The sequence below is a fragment of the Homo sapiens genome, chromosome 12, assembly GCF_000001405.40.
Source record: "Homo sapiens chromosome 12, GRCh38.p14 Primary Assembly".
NCBI lineage: Eukaryota > Metazoa > Chordata > Mammalia > Primates > Hominidae > Homo > Homo sapiens.
Window position 1 is genome coordinate 66,456,494 of NC_000012.12, and position 17,796 is coordinate 66,474,289.

Sequence of the window (17,796 nt, forward strand, 5' to 3'; positions counted from 1 at the left end):
TTTTCTCAGTGGTCAGCAAAATAGATGATTAACATAAAGGATGTAAACTTTTCATCTTCCCAAGAATAATGCATATCTTTCCTCAGCTCGTTTTTTCTTCTTTTAAGATGACTATTGAATCAATTTCTAATCTCCCTCAGTGCTTTGCAGCTGAGATTAAGAACATTTTTTTTAACTTAAAAGTCAGCCCCTCAAAGATCTATGGCACACAATTAGTAATTAAAGATTTGCAAATCTTGGCCAGTTAGTAGCACTTGTTTTGAGAAAAAGAAAAGAAAGAGCAATAAATCACGTTGGTGCATGATTCAAGTGGTTTACTAGTCACACATCAGAATTTACTGCTCTGACATTTTAATTGCACTACAATCCATCACTTGGACTTGATTTTCCTCAACAATAAACCACTCTAATCATCTATCAGTATCAGAATCTTATCTGTATCTCGACTAATAAGGAGAAGATAAAAGTCTCTATATTTTATGATTTTTTGAAAAAGCATATTTACATTAGAAATAATTATTAAAATATTTCACGTTTTTATATTTCCTTGATGCCATAAAATTTTAATAAAGTTTATTTCAAACTTTATTAAAATTTCAAATTGCCGTCCCTTTTATGTTTTAGAAAATCTTTATCATGTTTCCATTCTAGCTTCAATATTAAGATTTGATATTCCACCCAGTGTTCTGAAATATGAGCAATATAATGTTTGTTATTATGTCTGATATGAAGTTTTTCATTTAATAATCTTAAAGAACTCAAAATAACATATGAACTTATTTTATTTTTCTAGAGATGGGGTCTTGCTGTGTCACCCAGGCTGGAGTGCAGTGGTGTGATCATAGCTCACTGTAATCTTGAATTCCTGGGTTCAGGCAATCCTCCCGCCTCAGCCTCCTGAGTAGCTGGCACTACAGGCCCACGCCACCACACCCAGCTAATTTTTTATTATTTTATTTGTGTAGAAATGAGGGTCTGCCTATGTTGCCCAAGCTGGTCTCAAGTGATCCTTCTACCTCAGCCCTGAGTTGTTGGGATTAAGGCATGAGCCACCATGCCTGACTTAACATATGAATTTATATCTCCTTCTACTTTCATGATTTTGGTGTTAGGTGTCTTACAAGTGAATATGTAGAGAGGTGAAATACTCTATGCATTGAAAGGACAGTCGTTTAGATAAGAACTTAAGTTACATCAACTGTGATGCCAGCTGAATTGGTCAATTCGCATCCTTTCTAGAATGAAACAGGACATGAAAAAAAAAGCACTAGCACGGACAGATCACTGCGGGGTGAAGCAGACCTGGGTTTCAGCTCTGCCTCCAGCCCTTCCTCTTTGTATGACCTTGGCCAGCTACTCAGCCACTCTAAACCTGAATTTCCTCATACGTCAAATGGAGATCATGAAATCATCTACCTCACAGGGATATTGAGAATTAGGCAAATACGGTGCTTAGCATGGTGCTGGCACACAGAATAAAAACAAATGAGTTTAGAGTATATTGATTTGTCTACTTTTCCATTTACGTGCCAACAATAAAGTATCTTTTAAAGGAAATAAATTTATTTTTCACTCAACAAATTTCACTCGTTGGACATTTAAGTTTAGAGAATTTCTCAGAAATCTGCAGCAGAAACTTTCATAGCCACTATAATTTTGTTACCCTAAACCATCTGGTCTGCTCCTTCTACTCAACTGCCCTGTTTGTGGTTTGGATTCCCCCTCTCTCTCCACTTTCCTACTTCAAGCTGCCACCTCCTTCATCTAGGCCACTGTAACACCTTCAGACATGGCTTCCCAACTCATCTCCTGCATACCTACCTTCCACAACATAGCTAGGGTGGCCTTCTAAATATATAAGTTAGATCATGCCACTCCTGTTTGAATAGGTTACTTTTTTTTTCTTTTGAGACAGAGTTTCACTCTTGTCACTCAGGATGGAGTGCAATGGTGCAATCTCAGCTCACTGCAAACTCTGCCTCTCAGGTTCAAGTGATTCTCTCACCTCACCCTACCCAGTAGCTGGGATTATAGGTGCCCACCACCACGCCCAGCTAATTTTTGTATTTTTGGTAGAGATGGGGTTTTGCCATGTTAGCCAGGCTGGTCTCAAACTCCCGACCTCAGGTGATCCGCCTGCCTCGGCCTCCCAAAGTGCTGGGATTACAGGCATGAGCCACTGCGCCGGGCCTGAATAGCTAACTATTACAAAGAGAATCAAAGGCAGCCCCTGCCTATCTCTCTAGTTTCATCCATATCACTCTACCCATCATTTGTATATTTTAGCCACACTGATCTTATGTCTACTCTTAGAACAAGTCAGGTTCCTTCCTGCCTCAAGGCCTTTGCACTTGCTGTTCTTTCCCCAGTTGTTTGTATGACTGCCTCCTTCTCATCATTCAGGTCTCACCCGAGGTGCCACCTCCTCAGAGAAGTTGTTGCTGATCTCCCTGGCTGAAGGAGCTGCCCTCCCCATGCTATCTCATTACTGTTTTACATTCTTCATGGTACTTATTGCTGTCTGAAACAGCTTTATTTATTTAATATATTTTTAATGTTTGTCTGTCTGTACTAGAATGTGAATTCTATAAGAGTAGGGATATACTTTGCCTGTCTTGCTCACTAAATATATCCTAGCAACTAGAACAGTGCCTGGTATATAATGACTAATACATGAATGAATGAATAAACAAATGCATGAATGAACGGGAATATCAGCCAGAGTGTCCATGTGAACACTGCAGCAGCATTTTCCTTGAGACAAAAGAGTATTTATTGCAGGAGATGTCCCTAATGGATTCTCTCTCACCATCCTCATTCTACTTTGGGTGTACAAGAAGACATTTCAGCAAGACGCAGTTATTACTGTGTTTGGCCAATTTACAACCACCGACACTTTAGCGTACTTTTCACAAAGTACCATCTGTGTTTCAAATGAAGCCAGGGTACGGTGAATGCACTTCGGGATTCTACACCCACCTTTTGACCCGCTTCTTCATTGAGAGCTTTGAAAATTACTGGGCATTTGTTAGGACTGTACAGCACAATTAATAAGTCAATAAGGAAGATATTATTTACCAGCTATTGCTTTCTCAGACTGTGCCAATTGCTACAGGCAGGTTAAAGGTCATACCATTTACCTTGACTTTGAATTACTACTGGGGATTAAATCTTCATACATATAAAATAATTAAGAGACAAAAATGATATAAGATAATGCACAAAACTGTATGCCATGGATGATGAATGCAAAAGGTGTTGAACAAATAATGTAGGCCAGAGAAGAGAGCTGCTGCCTATTTTGAATGTACACTCCAAATGTTTTCTGTTTTACAGTGGTGTACTTGATAGGCAAGTATTTCCAAAGTTTAATAATAAGATGTTACATTTTTGGCATGTCCTGTCATTTTGCAAAGAGCACTTATAGACATTCTCTCATTTAATAAAGCCAATAATTGTAGCCTACTTTCACTGATTACTTATTATATACTAGGCACTGTGCTAGGTGCTTTTTCATGGATTAGCTCAGACAATGTTCACAATATTCCTTTGAGGCAAGTATTATTATGACCCCCATTTTACAGATGAAGCAACTGAGGTATAGAAAAGTTGGGTAACTTGCTTAAGACCCCACGTGGTGGAGTCAGAGGTGAAGCTCTGGACACGTGATCCTAAAGTCCCCGCTTCAACCACCAGACATACCGCCTCTTCCTATGGGTATGTCTAAGTCCCTTGTTATGGATAAGAAAACAACACATTTAAAATATTATGGTTCTTGTATCATTCCATGGTGACGTCACTACTGCAGTCTCAAGAGATATATGGCCACAGAAGTTACTTTTCTTTCTTCTTTCTCTAATTGCAGCCTCTTACTCTGTTCAGGATGTTCGAGAGAGCAGACCACAGTGGTTCCAGGTTGCCCTGGAGCTCTCAAATGGAAGGTCCTCCTGGTACTGAATGTGTCGAGTCTAGTGACTCTGGTCACATTTTCCTTTCCAAAACGTCAGTTTCCTTCAATCCAATTATGTCTCCTGAAAACCCTCAGTGGGAAAAATTTCTAACCTCACTGAAAACTCATTTCTGTCAGCTTCTTTAATGCTGCTATTTATCAGTGAAAGGCATAGCTAATCTCTTATCCCAAGTTGAGATATTCATTTCCACACTGGCCTGAAAACTCTGTGGTATATGCTTTACTGCTAACACAATCTGGAAATTTGGGAAGTGTGTTGAGAGACACACTGTTCAGGCATCAGAGATCTTGAAAAAACAATCAGAACTTTCTTGTGGAGAAAGGGTAAAACTATGTAAAACTCCACTAGTCAAAAATTTGAGAATTGTAAACACAATAATAATTTTTTGTTTGTTTTTCTTCTTTACTATGATTTAATTATGTTTAGGAGCCAAAATTTATTTCCTCTTGGAAATCCAAGTCTGATTTTAATGTGCAATATAACGGAAACACCTGCTTGATAAGAAAGACAGTGAACAACTTTCAGTAAACGTAGACGATGGAGTCAGAAGTGGAAGCTAGAATTACTTAAACTTCCTATCAGTTTCCTATCCCTGCAACACAAACGACATCAGGTTTTCCACAATAAAGGCAAAAAATTTGTGCTTAGTCCATATATTTTAGTGTATAAATTAAACTCAAATTGCCTTGGCAGGTTAAAAAATTTAATATTCCATGAGTTGAAAACACTTGAATTATTTATGAATTGTATATAGGGCCAATTAAAGAAAAATAAAAGAGATTACTAAAGATGCTAACATTTTAAAAGGGTCTGGTATGCATTTCCGATTCGCTGATACCAGAATTTAGCAAGCAAAACCCCATGCTGAGAGAGCACTACACAGTGTACATTCTTATGGCTACTGTGCTCCAAATCCAATGATGACTGCCGATTAATTTAAAGAAACTTAAACAGCTTCAGAAATCTCTCCTCTCTGCCAGAGTGCAGGAAGGGCCCACGGGGCCTCCTGATAGGAATGGTGTGCATCCTTGTGAACGGCACCTTCCTACAGCTGTTTGCATTGCTATTCCAATACTGTGATGCTGATTTTCTTTTCATAACCTGCCTATGCTGCATCATTTCTCTACTCCAATGTGTAAAATTAAAATCTGATAAGGGTAATGTTGTACTAGAGATTTTCATTAGCTTCAGGGCTGTCTAAGCTCCATTTAATTAAAAAGGTTGCATCCAGCTGACTGATTTAGTATGAAAATTATCTGGTCCCTCTTTCCCCCCGCCCCAGACTGTGGAGAAGTGTAGTGCATTTTAAAAGGTGGGAGACACAATACAAATGACCCCCTCATAAGCAAAATTTCAATTTCAGAGAAAACTGCACTGTGTCTAAATATACAGAAATGCATTATCCTCCTTCAGGCCACCCTGACAATACTAGTGAGGCCTCTAATTTCAAGGAGTACAAAGGAATGGTGTTTGCTTTAAGGAATAGGGCAGGAGAGGGAGTCGGAACAAATATCCTACTGGAAAACTTGACTTCATTTGATTTGGGGCTCAAAGACCCCTTTCTCATACCAGGTTTTGCCTAAAGGTGCCTAGGTAGATGGTATAAACACCCAGCAAATGTATCTGTGAATTTCAAGGGAGTCAAAATACAGATACCTTCAGCTGACACTTTCTATTGAATAAATGGAGTTAAATATTCTGATTCTCCCAGACAAGATGTTTGCTCAGACAGGTTGTTCTCTATCCTAAGAAAAAAACTCCACTGGCAAAAGACATAATATATTGTAAACCAAGGCTTCATATAACTGGTTCCCTCTGATTCCTGCCAAATATTTGAAGGTTCTGCTATTAAAATCCACTTTACTTATTTATTTTTAAGTGAGAGCTTTACTATTTGCCTTCATTGGCCTTCATCTAGGCTGGAAATTCAAAATGTATACCAGGAAGTCAAATTATTTTCCTTGTCTGCACATTCAATTTGCACCAAAGACTTTTTTAAGAAAAAAATATCAAATAGCACTAGCCTGAAAATTTTTTCCTCGATGTTAGGGTTTCAAGCAAATTATGTGTGGCTTAGAAAAAAGACTTTGGAAGATGAATTAGAGTAAACAAACATAACCTTGTTTTGAAAAGAAATGATGAGTCTGACCAACATGGTGAAACCCTGTCTCTATTAAAAATACAAAAATTAGCTGGGCATGGTGGCGGTCACCTGTAATCCCAGCTACTCGGGAGGCTGAGGTAGGAGAATGGCTTGAACCCAGGAGGCAGAGGTTGGAGTCAACCGAGATCATGCTACTGCATTCCAGTCTGGGGGACAGAGTGAGACTCCATCTCAAAAAAAAAAAAAAAAAAAAAAGGCAGAATGAGACCCAGTGTCTTTCTGCTGTCTAACTCTGCTAGAGGGAGCAACACTGTGAGGGCCAGAGAAAGAGCTTGATCCAGGTGGACCATCTCACCATGGTCGGGCCCCTTTAGGGCCAGCCGGGTCTGATGATGGGGAAGGATCTCAAGCTTGACCTGGTCAGTGGTGTTGGCCAGGAACTGGGTTGCTTCTGCAAGTGTACAGTACTCCATGCTGGTTCCATCGATGGAGAGGATGTGATCTCCCACATGCAATGCGCCACATCTACGGAAAGGAGAAATACTCGGTAAGAGGCAGTGCCTTCCTCTTTGGAATCTGACTTTCATGTCCTTCATAGTTAAAATTTCACAGTTTTTCATTTACTTAAAATAAAAGAAAAGAAAAGTTTGAGTGTTATAGGAAACACCATCTGCCAAATTTTAAGTACCTTGAATATGAACAAGGAAGTAAAACCTTGTGGAAAATAGAGAAAAATTCAACGAAATGTTTTCTCTTGTCTTTCTTTAAAAAAAAAATCTTATTTTGGAGTGCTTGTGTGGAAAGTTGAGGGAAAGCGAGCAAGAGGAAAGGGAAAAACAGGAAAATGTTTCCCCTGGACTTTTGTCTGTGTTTTTTTGTTCTAGGCTTTTCTATCTATAAACATGAGTGGGTAAATCTTCAGAATCTCAAACATGACTCTCAGAATTGGAATAGGGTCTATTTTATGTGTAAAGAAGAATAACTTGGGGAGATTTCAGTAATACTTCCTTGGAATCCTCACACAAACTCCAAGATCACCAGTTCTTTATTATTATGTTATTCTGGAGTTGAACATGTATTAGTATAAAAGCTCTTGATAATGGTAGAAATTATGCAGGAGTCAAGTGAGTAATAAAACCAGGCCTGCATGGTGAGTCAAGGGGAAAGATGGGGGCAGGGAAGGGGCTAGCTGCTACATCTTGCTGAACTCAAGAGCTGGCTACTGGATGAGTTAAGAAAAGCTAGCGCAGTCGTCAGCATCCCCACATACCAGTCAAGTGAACAGCTCCTTAAACTGGTTACCCCCTGTGGAATGGGAAAAAACAGAGGGAGAAAATTAAAGCATCCTGTGCCATTGAACTGCACAACACCCCTGGATCAATGGCTGTCACTGATAAGGACTGAATGTTGGGTAAGACCACAATGGAGATGTAGACTGACCACTACGGGGGGTTGCTGCAGTTCACTGCACCATGGCTGGAGGTGGAAAGGCAGGTTGAGGGGCACGTGGAGAAGAGGGCTGGAAACATACAGGGGAGACTGGTCATTCAGGTGCAGTATATCTATAAATTCCCAGTGTGAATAGTCTACGTCTCAAGACAAAAGCATTTCAAGTCATATCTTCCAACTAAAAACATAATTCCACATTTTTTGCACTTGGAGTGCTTTAGCTATGGGAGATGAGGTTTTTCTTACCAGGAGCTGTAAAATAATTAATTAGATGGAAAGGTAGTCTTTTTTTATCTTCCCCTTTTACCTTACGAGTATAAAATATTAATTAGAAACATGAAATTTCATTTTTATTGTGGCATTGAAGCGAATGATGTTTTAAGACACCCTCGAAGGTTGTAAAATCCTAAGATTAACATGCTATGAGAGTATAGGACTTTTTAAAAGTATTGTAAAAAATATTTTAAAAAGTATTGTTTTATTTATTTAAGAAACAAAGAAATCAGATTTTATGGTAGCAGGATTTAATTGTCAACAATTCAGGAAAACCCATCACTGCTCTGCATGGGGTTTAAGAAAGATCTACTCAGCTACCCTACATTAAGAACAGGCTAGTGCCCTAGGACACAGTAAGAAAACTTGCTTAGTTGCTTGATTTTTTTTTCTATTGCTAAAGGCCACACCAAACATCTGGATGACGTGAAGTGACATCATGGGGTGGCTGACACATAGGTGAATTTTTAAGCCCTGTAACAGTAACTTGCTTCTGTGTGTGAAACCTGTATAAACTGGCAAGAGAACTGTGTGTGTGTGTGTGTGTATGTGTATATGCATGTGTATATGTGTATTACAAGTGTGTGTACATATGTATGTATATATATTTAAAATTGCACACATGCAATTTTGTAAAGGGGCACTTTCTTTCTTTCTTTCTTTCTTTTTTTTTTTTTGAGATGGAGTTTCACTCTTGTTGCCCAGGCTGGAGTGCAATGGTTCAGCTCACTGCAACCTCTGCCTCGCGAGTTTAAGTGATTCTCATGCCTCAGCCTCCCGAGTAGCTGGGATTACAGGCACCTGCCACCATGACTGGCTAATTTCTTGTATTTTTAGTAGAGATGGGGTTTCACCATGTTGGCCAAGCTGGTCTCGAACTCCTGACCTCAGGTGATTCACCCGCCTCGGCCTCCCAAAGTGTTGGGATTACAGGCGTGAGCCACTGCGCCTGGCGGAAAAGTAGGCACTTTCTACAATACTTACCTGTCTGCAATACTTGCAGATTTGATTTTGTCTATGACAATGACTTGTTTGTTACAGCACATCGAGGTAGTTAGGGCAACCCCAAGGCTGGCACCAGGAGTTTTGGCAACTTCGACTAGTAGTGGCCCGGATGCTGTTGCCACAGAGTCTGTCAAAGAACAAATTTTAGAAAACAAAACAAATAAAACAAATAAGCAAAGAGACAAAAGAAAGAGATGAAGAATATTCAGTTTGGTGTTAGCCTGTTAATTTTATCACTGAAACTTAGATTTCCCTCCATATAATATCCCCACAGCCAATAATAAATTCATAGGGCACCTCTTAACACACCTGTTCCATTCAGCTTGTATTGTGTTAATGTATGTGTAATGTTCATCTCTTCAATGAGATTTTAAGCTTCATGTCACTTGGGATAATATCTTATGTATCTTTATCCCCTCCACAGTGCTTGGCACAATGCCGAGCATATACTAGGTCTCTCAGTAAAGGTTTTTTAAATTAATTACTTAATTCAATAAATATCTTAGCACCTACCAGGAATAAATAGACGGATGGATGAATGAATGGATGAAAGGATGGATATAAAAAAGAAAGGAAGGAAAGAAGAAAGAAAGGAAGGGAGGAAGGGAGGAAGAAAGAAAAGAAGGATGGATGGGTGGATAAATAAAAGAATGACAAGAGGGATGGGAGGATGAATGGATGGGTAGATAGATAATCAGAAGAATGGATGGATGGATGATGTCTCTAGCCAAGTAGTAGGAATGTTACACTAAGTTGAATTTGTAAAGCTTAACTTCATATATGCTTTATTTTTGGCTTGGAACACTCTTTGTTCCTTCAACTCCTTCTAACATTTGCATACTCAATGCCAACATCAATTCCTCGGGAAGCCTAAATTGTAATTTGGTAAGATGCTTTTCACATGTGCTTCTACAGCCTGCTCTATTCCTGCTGTTGTAGCATACATCTCACTGGTTCATAGTGGCCAGTACGGACGACATGCCTGTGTTCCTTGCCAGATTGTAAACATGCTTGAAGGTAGAGACTATGTCTTGTCAATCACAGCATTCTCAGTGCCTAGAATAATGATTAGCACATCAGAGGTATGCCACTAATAGTTGTGGAATGAATGCATGAACAAATGAGAAAGCTCATGATGTTGCTTAAAGCTCATTAGAGCCACAGACACAAGGGAAAGAGTCTGGGACACAGAATTAAAACATCTGGATTCAATTCTCATTTTCACAATATTTGTGTCATGGTATCTAAGACAAGACTAGTTACTAAAACTTTCCTTTTTTTGTATTTTGATAAAATTGACAATTAACAATACTAAAACTTTCTAAGCCTGCTTGCTTACCTATACAATGGTATCTTTTCCACAGTGTTTATTAAAACCAAACCAATGAACAAAGCACTTTGTTATACATATAGGATATTTTCATTATTGCTATATTATGACCTCAAGCCTTTGAGTCATGTCATTTTTCAAGACTGCATATTGGTCTGTAATCTTTTTCTAATTTTCAACTGTTCTGATGTTTGACACTCCATTAATACAATTTTGCCTTTCTGCAAGAACATCTTTGTCATCAAGGCCCCACTCAGATATAGTGAAATAGGAAATCTGTATTCCCATTGCTGAAGCTCAGGTAATATGCACTGACTCATGAAGCTGAAAGGTCCATGGGAGAGAGCCATCTTCAGTTTGAGATAAGATACTTATTAAAGTAAAGATGACAATATCCAGGCCAACAACATGCATATCCAGTGCTAAGGATTCTTGTATGTATTAACACCATGTTTCCTAACTGACTGGTAAGATTGAAATGTTAGTCCTTAAAAAGGTTAAGAGACCATCAGGGCCTATATCTCTTCCTGTCAATTCCAGAGCAGAGTTTCATTAATAATATCTGCAAGGAGCCAAAGGTCTTAATTATTAAGGAGAGTTTTTGGCTCTGGGGTATTACAACTACTCCAGATCCTATGGTTGATTTGCCCATAAGCCTAACTATGGTGGATGCTACTCTCTGCTCTCGCTCACCTTGATGTATTAATTCCCCTGATCTCCTGACATCAGACTAGGGCCAATGACAATGTCCTGGCTTCTCTCTCTCCTTCTCCCTCATTTGCTGCTTTGTTTCTCTGCAGAGTCTCACCTGGTCATTGTGCGTCCTGCCTTACTCTCATCTTGGAGTTTTCAGTGAGTGGGCCCCATGGCTATGTGCAATGGTAGTTTGCACATCATGAGCCTTAGTCAGGAGACCCTAGTAAAGAATCCTTGTTAGTCCCCGCAGCCTCTGTTTTAGTTGTCCTTCTATCACTAAGGTGGTTAGTTTTGCCCACCTCTCAATTTTAACAAAGATCTGTGGCTGAGCCCAGTGCACACAATATGATGCCTCTGGCTCCACCCCCAGCAGTCAGCCATCATCCTTCTGTTCCTTAAGCACGCTGCATAGCAACCTTTTTCTGCTCAGCCAAACCTCACATGAGCTCTGGCCTACCAGGGCCTTTTCTCACATTATCTTTCTAGAACTTTAGAATGACTAATTTTGATTTCTCAAACCCACTTTCCATGGTCTTGTTGGATTTTAATAGGTATGTTTGTGGGGTGACAATCACTTATGTTTTTCCTCATGGTTTTGTCATGTCTAAAGATAAATTTATTTTACTTAACAGGTGAAAGTGATAAAGTTTCTATATTACTTATTAATCTCTTTTAGGAATGACAGAAACTGCTAGGTGTTCCCTGATATCTCATCTTCTCTTCTTTTGTCAGTAATAGGGTTTCTAAGTTTTAGCTGAGCAAATGGCTGCCCAGTTAAGAACCACATTTCCCAGCCTCCCTTGCAGCAAGGTGTAGCCATAGGACCAGGTTCCAGCCAATGGGAAGTGAGATGTGACTGTGTTCCAGGATGTGCTCTTAAAAAGAATGGCTGTGCCCACCTCTCCCTCATTTCCCCCTTGCTGGTGGAATGTGGGCTCAGAACTGGTAAGCCATCTTCAACCATGCAGACCAGGGCATCAAGCCATGAGATAGATGAAGCCTAGGTTCCTAAAATCTTCAGGGATTTCTCAAGAGATTGAGAAAGAAACTTCTATCGTATTTATGTGAGCATTGTGAGTTTGGGCCTTTGATACAATGACTGAATTGGTATTCCAATAGGCCTTTTCATTTGAGAGGACTGCGCCAATGTATCTGTCTTGAACTGTTTTTATAAGAAGTGGCTATTTAAAGTAGGTATGTGCAGATGTAAATTTTATAAAACTACAACCAACCATTACCCAATACTCAAACAAAGTATTCATTTTTCTAAAAAGTACTAAATCATGATTAAACATGAGAGTTTTTAAAAAGGTCATCAGGATATTCAAAAGGTGTCTAAATATAAACCCTTAAGTTAGTTTTTTTTTTTCATGGCCTGTATATTTGCCAAAGTATTAAAACTTATATTTTTGTGGTTTTAATGTTCCAATGATCATGAAGAATTAACATGAAATTGTTCTGGTAGAAAGAAATGATAGGAGTAGGAGTATTAAGAAGCTTAGGAAAAGGATGCCAGATCCTCTGCCATCATTAATTTAGAGGGTGTGAGAGAGAGCATCCACAGCTTCTACAGTATGCTTCTGTGACTGGAAACTAGAATAAGTCTCTCTTTAAGTACAACTTGCCCCATTAAGGCTTGAAAAAACAACAGGTGTAATATTTCCATTTGGGGGATGCAAATATGCAATTAATGAATCTTTTTTAAAACTTAAAGTAGAAAGCTTTACAGTTCTGAGGTAAGATTAATTTAAAGTCATGGTTAAGGGAAGAGGCAGTGTGGTGCTACACAAGGCTCAAGGCTGGAGCTGAGGACCAGCTAGAGGGTGGTTCTTGCTATATCATCAACTCAGCATGTGGCCCGAGCCATCATCTCCCTTAGACCTCATTTTCTTCACTTGTAAAATGAAGAGATTTGAATAAAATTTCCCTAGTCATTACAATCTGTGAATCTACAGAGAAATAATGATGCCAGTTAAGTAGCTAGCCAGAGAAAGTTAAGGCAGGTTAACCAACTTTATGAAAATATACAGTAGCTAGAATCTAAATCCCAGTATCCTACAATCAATAGAAGAGATGAGTAGCTAGATAGAAAAGTGATTCTTGATAACTATGTTTATGAAGGTGGGATAAAAATCCTCAGACCTTCAAATATTTGTATGACAATAACAATATCCTTTAAAGACTGAGTTTGGAGGGATGGCTTCCACCTTCAAAGAGACATCACATAATATGAAGCTTCCACATTAAGAAGTTTCCAGGGCACAACTACAACTTTCTAGCAAGATTCTATCATAGTAAGGTCCTAATCTAACTAACCAGAAAAAAAATGATGAAGAAAAGAGGATGTTTATCTCATGAAAGACAATCAGGGCTTATTGACAACAGTCTACAGAACATGAGCTCAGTCTTGTATTCTCTCACCTCAGTAGCCCACAGTTTCACTTACCTCAGTCACTCTTAAATCCAGCACACATCATTCCCCCAAGCTCCTATCTGTCACTTAGAACAATTTTTGGATATCTCCTAGGAACACTGACACATGTCCCAAACTGAAGAGTGAGACCACCCTACTCCACTGCTTCTGCAGGTTTCCTTCTCCAGTGATGGGTTCACGCTGCCCTCCATCACACAGACCAGAAACCCAGGAGCCATCCCTGGCTCCATCTTCTCCCAGATCCTTATAAATTCCTCTTGATTTTACCCCCTAAATAGCTCTCAATTTCATCCTTTCTTTCCATCTCCATGATCACCACCTTAGCCCAACTTACCATCATCTGATTTCCCCACATCCTCTCATGCCCTTCACCTTCCCCAATCCAGAGTGATCCTTTAAATTGAATATCTCATCACGTTAATCCCAAGCTTAAAAGCTTTCCACAGCTGTTCTGGTAATGGAGTACAGGTTCTTAACATGGTCTACAAGGACCTGCATGATCTGGCTTCTGCTTCCTTCACCAGTTTTGTCTTCCACCATTCTGCCCTGCTTCTCTCTGTTCCAGTCCTGAACTCCTATTTTAGTCATTCAAAATGCTGTCAGCCGCTGCTACAGTGCCTTCATTTATGTTGTTCTCTCTACACAGAATGCCCCACCTCTTCCTGTCCCTTCCTTCACCTACTTTTTTTTTTTTTTAACAACTGCTCTGCTCAAATGTCACATCCTCAGGGATTACTGCCCTGACCTGCAAACTATGTCAACCTACCCATTATACACTTTAATAGAACCCTATGTGAATGCAGTGGACACGATGAAGAGGACATTGTTTGGCTCTAGGAGAATCTACCAGACCTGCTCATCTGCAGGGGACTCTGGGCAAATTATGTTGACTGACAGCTGAACAAGAACCATGGGGTAGAGTATGCTGTTTAAGTCAGGGTCCCAGCAAGCAACACATGGTACACTCAAATTAGGATAACTTGAGAAGAGTTTAATAAAGGAACAATTTAGAAAGGTGTGAGAAGCTTATAGGGAAACTACAAGGGATGATACCGTACTCTGGGGGCAGAAATAATAGGGACCATACCCTACTAAGCCTGAAAAGGCAAAGAATAGAATTGCTAGTAGAACCAGGATTCAGAAAAGCCTAAAGTGATGAGGGCTCCTTGACATGAGCTGGGACCTTCAGTCAAGGGACCAGTTTCAGTGAACCCACAAGGACGAAGTCGGGAGAGTAATACTTTTCATCATTGTCCTCCCTTCCTCTGATCGACTGCCATGATTCCCTACTAGCCAAACTCAACTGGAAGCCAGAAGGCTTGAGAGCCCATAGTGTAGACCATATAGGTCATGGCAGAGCAGCAAGAAGGGTGGCAAGTGGCTCTGGAGGTAAAAAGGAGGGTATTCTTATTTGTATTTATCTCTACTCATCTTTACACAAAAATCTTGAGGCTGTTTGCTTGAAACAAAATAAGTAATACAAAGAAACAACCAGGAAGAGTCTACAAATGCCCTACCACAAGGGTTAACAGAGGTGCAGTTTGACTCCACTGCAAGCATGACACTGGACTATAAGTAAATCCATAGGTACAGAAAGTAGAAGTACAATTAGTAGTTACCAGGGTTGCTGGGGAGGGAAAAATGACTGCTTAATGGATACAAGGTTTCCTTTTGGGATGATAAAAATGTGCTGGAGTTAGACAGAGGGAATATTTGCACAACTCTGTGAATGTACTAAGTGCCACTGAATTGTATCTTTAAAATGATTAATTGTATGTTATGTGAATTTTGCTCCAATAAAAAGAATGACTCAATTTCCCAGCAACCTGAATAATAAAGGAAACATAATCAATTATGCAGTTCTCACTATTGGAAAGGAGAAAGTCTACTAGTCTCTATGGTGGAAATAAAGATGATTCTAGCAGAGAGCTCTAAAAGATATCCCTCTCATGGGCTTTTATATACAGATGGTGGTAAATGATATAATGGATAATGCCCTCAACACATTTTATGATAGGATGCAGAGGTAGTTTCCAACATCTGTTCCCTGATCAAGGTTGAGATATAAGATTAAAAAGCAAATCAATGATGGTGTCTCTAGAATGGGACGAGATAATGTATTGGTCAACATGATCTAAAGGTGGATCCCAGGGTCAACAGACTGAATATCTCTTGGGATCTTTGTTAGATGTCAATCTTTTCTCTCACTTAGGTTTTGAAAAGAAGCTGGATATTAGACAATTCAAGGAAGTCCCCTGTGATAAGGCACTCTTATGCTGGCATTTTACATAAGTGACTAGGACCAGATCCATATGCTTTGGGCATCAGATGAATCAGCAGCAGCATTAATGTACTATCAGGAGGCTGGGGAAGCCTAATTATATTCTTGCTAGGATAGAAGTCTGTCCACCTCATAGTCCCATGGAAGTGGACTTTCTAAGTTGTCATCCATTCAACAACATGAACTTAAAAACTATATTTACTAACTGCCAACTATATGCCATGCACATTGAAAGGTAGTGGGGATTCAAAGATGGACATTTACTATTCCTTCTTTCCTTCTAGTAACCCCTTGGGATCCCATGCCAAGAAGGTGGGGAGTAGTGCTGAACTCCTTGATTCCACTAAAGAAATATATTCTATTGAATCTCATGAAGTTTCTAGTTACTTTTTTCTTTTTAACATACTGTTTGCAACTCCTCTCTTCCTGCCCAATGAAATCTTTAATATAGTATGGTCAAAATGCTTACAAAAATATTGAGTTATCTGGTGGCTGGCAAGATGGTCAAATAGGAACAGCTCCAGTCTGCAGCTCGCAGCAAGATCAACACAGAAGGCGGGTGATTTCTGCATTTCCATCTGAGGTACATGGCTTATCTCACTGGGACTGGTTAGACAGTGGGTGCAGCCCATGAAGGGCAAGCCGAAGCAGGGTGGGGCGTTGCCTCACCCAGGAAGCACAAGGGGTTGGGGAACTCCCTCCCCTTGCCAAGGGAAGCCATGAGGGACTGTGCTGTGAGGAATGGTGCACACTAGCCCAGATACTACGCTTTTCCCATGGTCTTCATAACCTGCAGACAAGGAGATGCTCTCTGGTGCCTAGGCCACCATGGCCCTGGGTTTCAAGCACAAAACTGGGCGGCCACTTGGACAGACACTGAGCTAGCTACAGAAGTTTTTTTTTCATACCCCAGTGGTGCCTGGAATGCCAGTGAGAGAGAACCATTCACTCCCCTGGAAAGGAGGCAGGAACCAGGGAGCCAAGTGGTCTAGCTCAGCAGACCCCAGCCCCATGGAGCCCAGCAAGCTAAGATCCACTGGCTTGAAATTCTCACTGCCAGCATAGCAGTCTAGAGTCGACTTGGGATGCTGAAGTTTGGTGGGGGGAGGGGCGTCCCTCAATACTGGGGCTTGAGTAGGCAGTTTTCCCCTCACAGTGTAAACAAAGCCACTGGGAGGTTTGAACTGGGCAGAGGCCACTGCAGCTCGGCAAAGCTGCTGTGGCCAGACTGCCTCTCTAGATTCCTCCTCTCTGGGCAGGGCATCTCTGAAAGAAAGGCACCAGCCCCAGTCAGGAGCTTAGAGATAAAACTCCCATCTCCCTAGGACAGAGCACCTGGGGGAAGGGGCAGCTATGGGTGCAGTTTCAGCAGACTTAAATGTTCCTGCCTGCTGGCTCTGAAGAGAGCAGCAGATCTCCCAGCACAGTGCTTCAGCTCTGCTAAGGGACAGACTGCCTCCTCAAATGGGTCCCTTGAGGGGACAGTGCTTCCTGACTGGGAGACAACTCCCAGCAGGGGTCGACAGACACCTCTTACAGGAGAGCTCCAGCTGGCATCGGGTGGGTGCCCCTCTGGGACGAAGCTTCCAAAGGAAGGAACAGGCAGCAATCTTTGCTGTCCCACAGCTTCCACTGGTGATATCCAGGCAAAGAGGGTCTGCAGTGGACATCCAGCAAACTCTAGCAGACCTGCAGCAGAGGGGCCTGGCTGTTAGAAGGAAAACTAACAAACAGAAAGGAATAGCATCAACATCAATGAAAGGACGTCCACAAAGAAACTCCAACCGAAGGTCACCAACATCAAAGACCAAAGGTAGATAAATCCATGAAGATGAAGAAAAACCAGTGCAAAAAGCCTAAAAATTCAAAAACCGGAATGTCTCTTCTCCTCCAGAGGATCACAGCTCCTCGCCAGCAAGGGAACAAAACTGTACAGAGAATGAGTTTGATGAACTGACAGAAGTAGGCTTCAGAAGATGGGTAATAACAAACTCCTCTGAGCTAAAGGAGCATGTTCTAACCCAATGCAAGGAAGCTAAGAACCTTGAAAAAAGGTTAGATGAATTACTAACTAGAATAACCAGTTTAGAGAAGAACATAAATGACCTGTTGCAGCTGAAAAACAGCTTGAGAACTTTGTGAAGCATACGGAAGTATCAATAGCCAAACTGATCAAGCAGAAGAAAGGATATCAGAGATTGAAGATCAGCTTAATGAAATAAAGTGTGAAGACAAGATTAGAGGAAAAATAAT

At 40.5% G+C, this 17,796-nt stretch overlaps 1 protein-coding gene across 22 annotated transcripts in view; it reads right to left on the minus strand.

Annotated features, from left to right (window-relative positions):
- GRIP1 (glutamate receptor interacting protein 1) overlaps window positions 1-17,796 on the minus strand; it is a 721,908-nt gene that overhangs the window by 109,063 nt on the left and 595,049 nt on the right. For all 22 annotated transcript variants that reach the window (XM_047428622.1, XM_005268757.5, NM_001379351.1 and 19 more), the window contains 2 exons: window positions 8,782-8,929; window positions 6,431-6,600 (listed from right to left, as the gene is read on the minus strand). In XM_047428622.1, coding sequence (XP_047284578.1) covers window positions 6,431-6,600; window positions 8,782-8,929 — 318 coding nt within the window. The remainder of the gene's footprint in view (window positions 1-6,430; window positions 6,601-8,781; window positions 8,930-17,796) is intronic.